The 1449-nt window shown below is 45.8% G+C and overlaps 1 annotated feature.

Annotated features, from left to right (window-relative positions):
- Positions 288-1069: an enhancer, noted in NCBI's record as "OCT4-NANOG hESC enhancer chr7:68915277-68916058 (GRCh37/hg19 assembly coordinates)". NCBI's record gives its function as "activates a minimal SCP1, AML or CMV promoter by ChIP-STARR-seq in naive and primed H9 embryonic stem cells {active_cell/tissue: H9 hESC(naive and primed)}" and the evidence as "EXISTENCE:reporter gene assay evidence [ECO:0000049][PMID:30033119]".

Consider the following 1449-nt stretch of genomic DNA (forward strand, 5'->3'; position numbering starts at 1 on the left):
CAAAAACTCCCGGCCGGGCACAGTGGCTCACAACTGTAATCCCAGCACTTTGGGAGGCTGAGGTGGGTGGATCACGAGGTCAGGACATCAAGACCGTCCTGACCAACATGGTGAAACCCTGTCTCTACTAAAAGTACAAAAATTAGCCAGGCGTGGTCGTGGGTGCCTATAATCCCAGCTACTCAGGAGGCTGAGAGAAGAGAATCACTTGCACCCGGGAGGCGGAGGTTGCAGTGAGCCGAGATCGCTCCACTGCATTCCAGCATGGGTGACAGAGCGAGACTCTATCTCAAAACAAACAAACAAACAACAACAACAAAAAAAAACTCCCAAATAACACAACACATGTGCACACACACACACCTCATGACATTATTTATAAATGGAAAAGAATTTCTCGATGAAGGCCAATTTATACTCATTTCATATCAGTTTTTGCTTGTTTGTAATGCAGCACCATTAGTTTCTAGTTCTGCAGAATTGTAATCACTAGAAAAACTACTTTGGGACAGAGGAGGATGGAGCTGGCAGCAGGCTTCACAAGGCAGCCGGCTTCACAAGGCAGGCCTGAACTTTTGCGTTTCCTAGCTTTTGTGTGCTTAAGTTCACAAACCAAAGTCCTCATCAAGCCTTTTACATTTGAATAGATTACAAAGTGTTTGTAGGTCTGAGTCCTTGCAAGACAGTAGTTAATTGGCCTCACAAACAACAGCAGGAGAGTCTCATTATCCTGATTTAACAAAGGAAGACACTTCATCCAGAGAAGTTAAGGGACTGGATCCAGGCCCTAGTGCTGAGCCTAATCATCATTGTCATCAGCGTCGTTATCATCGTCACTAATTTTTAACATGCTAGGAGGACACTCCAACAATCTGTCCTCGTCCGCCAGGAGCTCATAGATTAATACACCTTTGATGTAACCATTTTTCAAAGAGCTAAGTAGGTAATAAACATAAATATTTATTGAAAGTAATACTGGAACCTCAGGCCTCATTCCTCATTAGAAGGAGACCAAGGGACTAAATATAAAATTGTGGGGCGGTCACCTTTCTGCTGGGTATCTGTTTCCCCATCAGTAGTGAAGAATTAGTACCACCTGGCTGGGTGCGGTGGCTCATACCTGTAATCCCAGCACTTTGTGAGGCTGAGGCAGACAGATCACCTGAGGTCAGGATTTTGAGACCAGACTTGCCAACATAGTGAAAACCCATCTCTACTAAAAATACAAAAATTAGCCAGGTGTGGCAGCACACATCTGTAATCCCAGCTACTTGGGAGGCTGAGGCATGAGAATCACTTGATCCTGGGATGTAGAGGTTGCAGTGAGTTGGGATCACACCACTGCACTCCAGCCTGGGCGACACAGCAAGACTCTATCTCAAAAAGAAAAGTACCACCTGGCTGGGTGTGGTGGCTCACACCTGTAACCCCGCTTTGGGAGGCTAAGGC

The sequence above is a fragment of the Homo sapiens genome, chromosome 7 (genome assembly GCF_000001405.40).
Source record: "Homo sapiens chromosome 7, GRCh38.p14 Primary Assembly".
NCBI classification, from domain to species: Eukaryota; Metazoa; Chordata; class Mammalia; order Primates; family Hominidae; genus Homo; species Homo sapiens.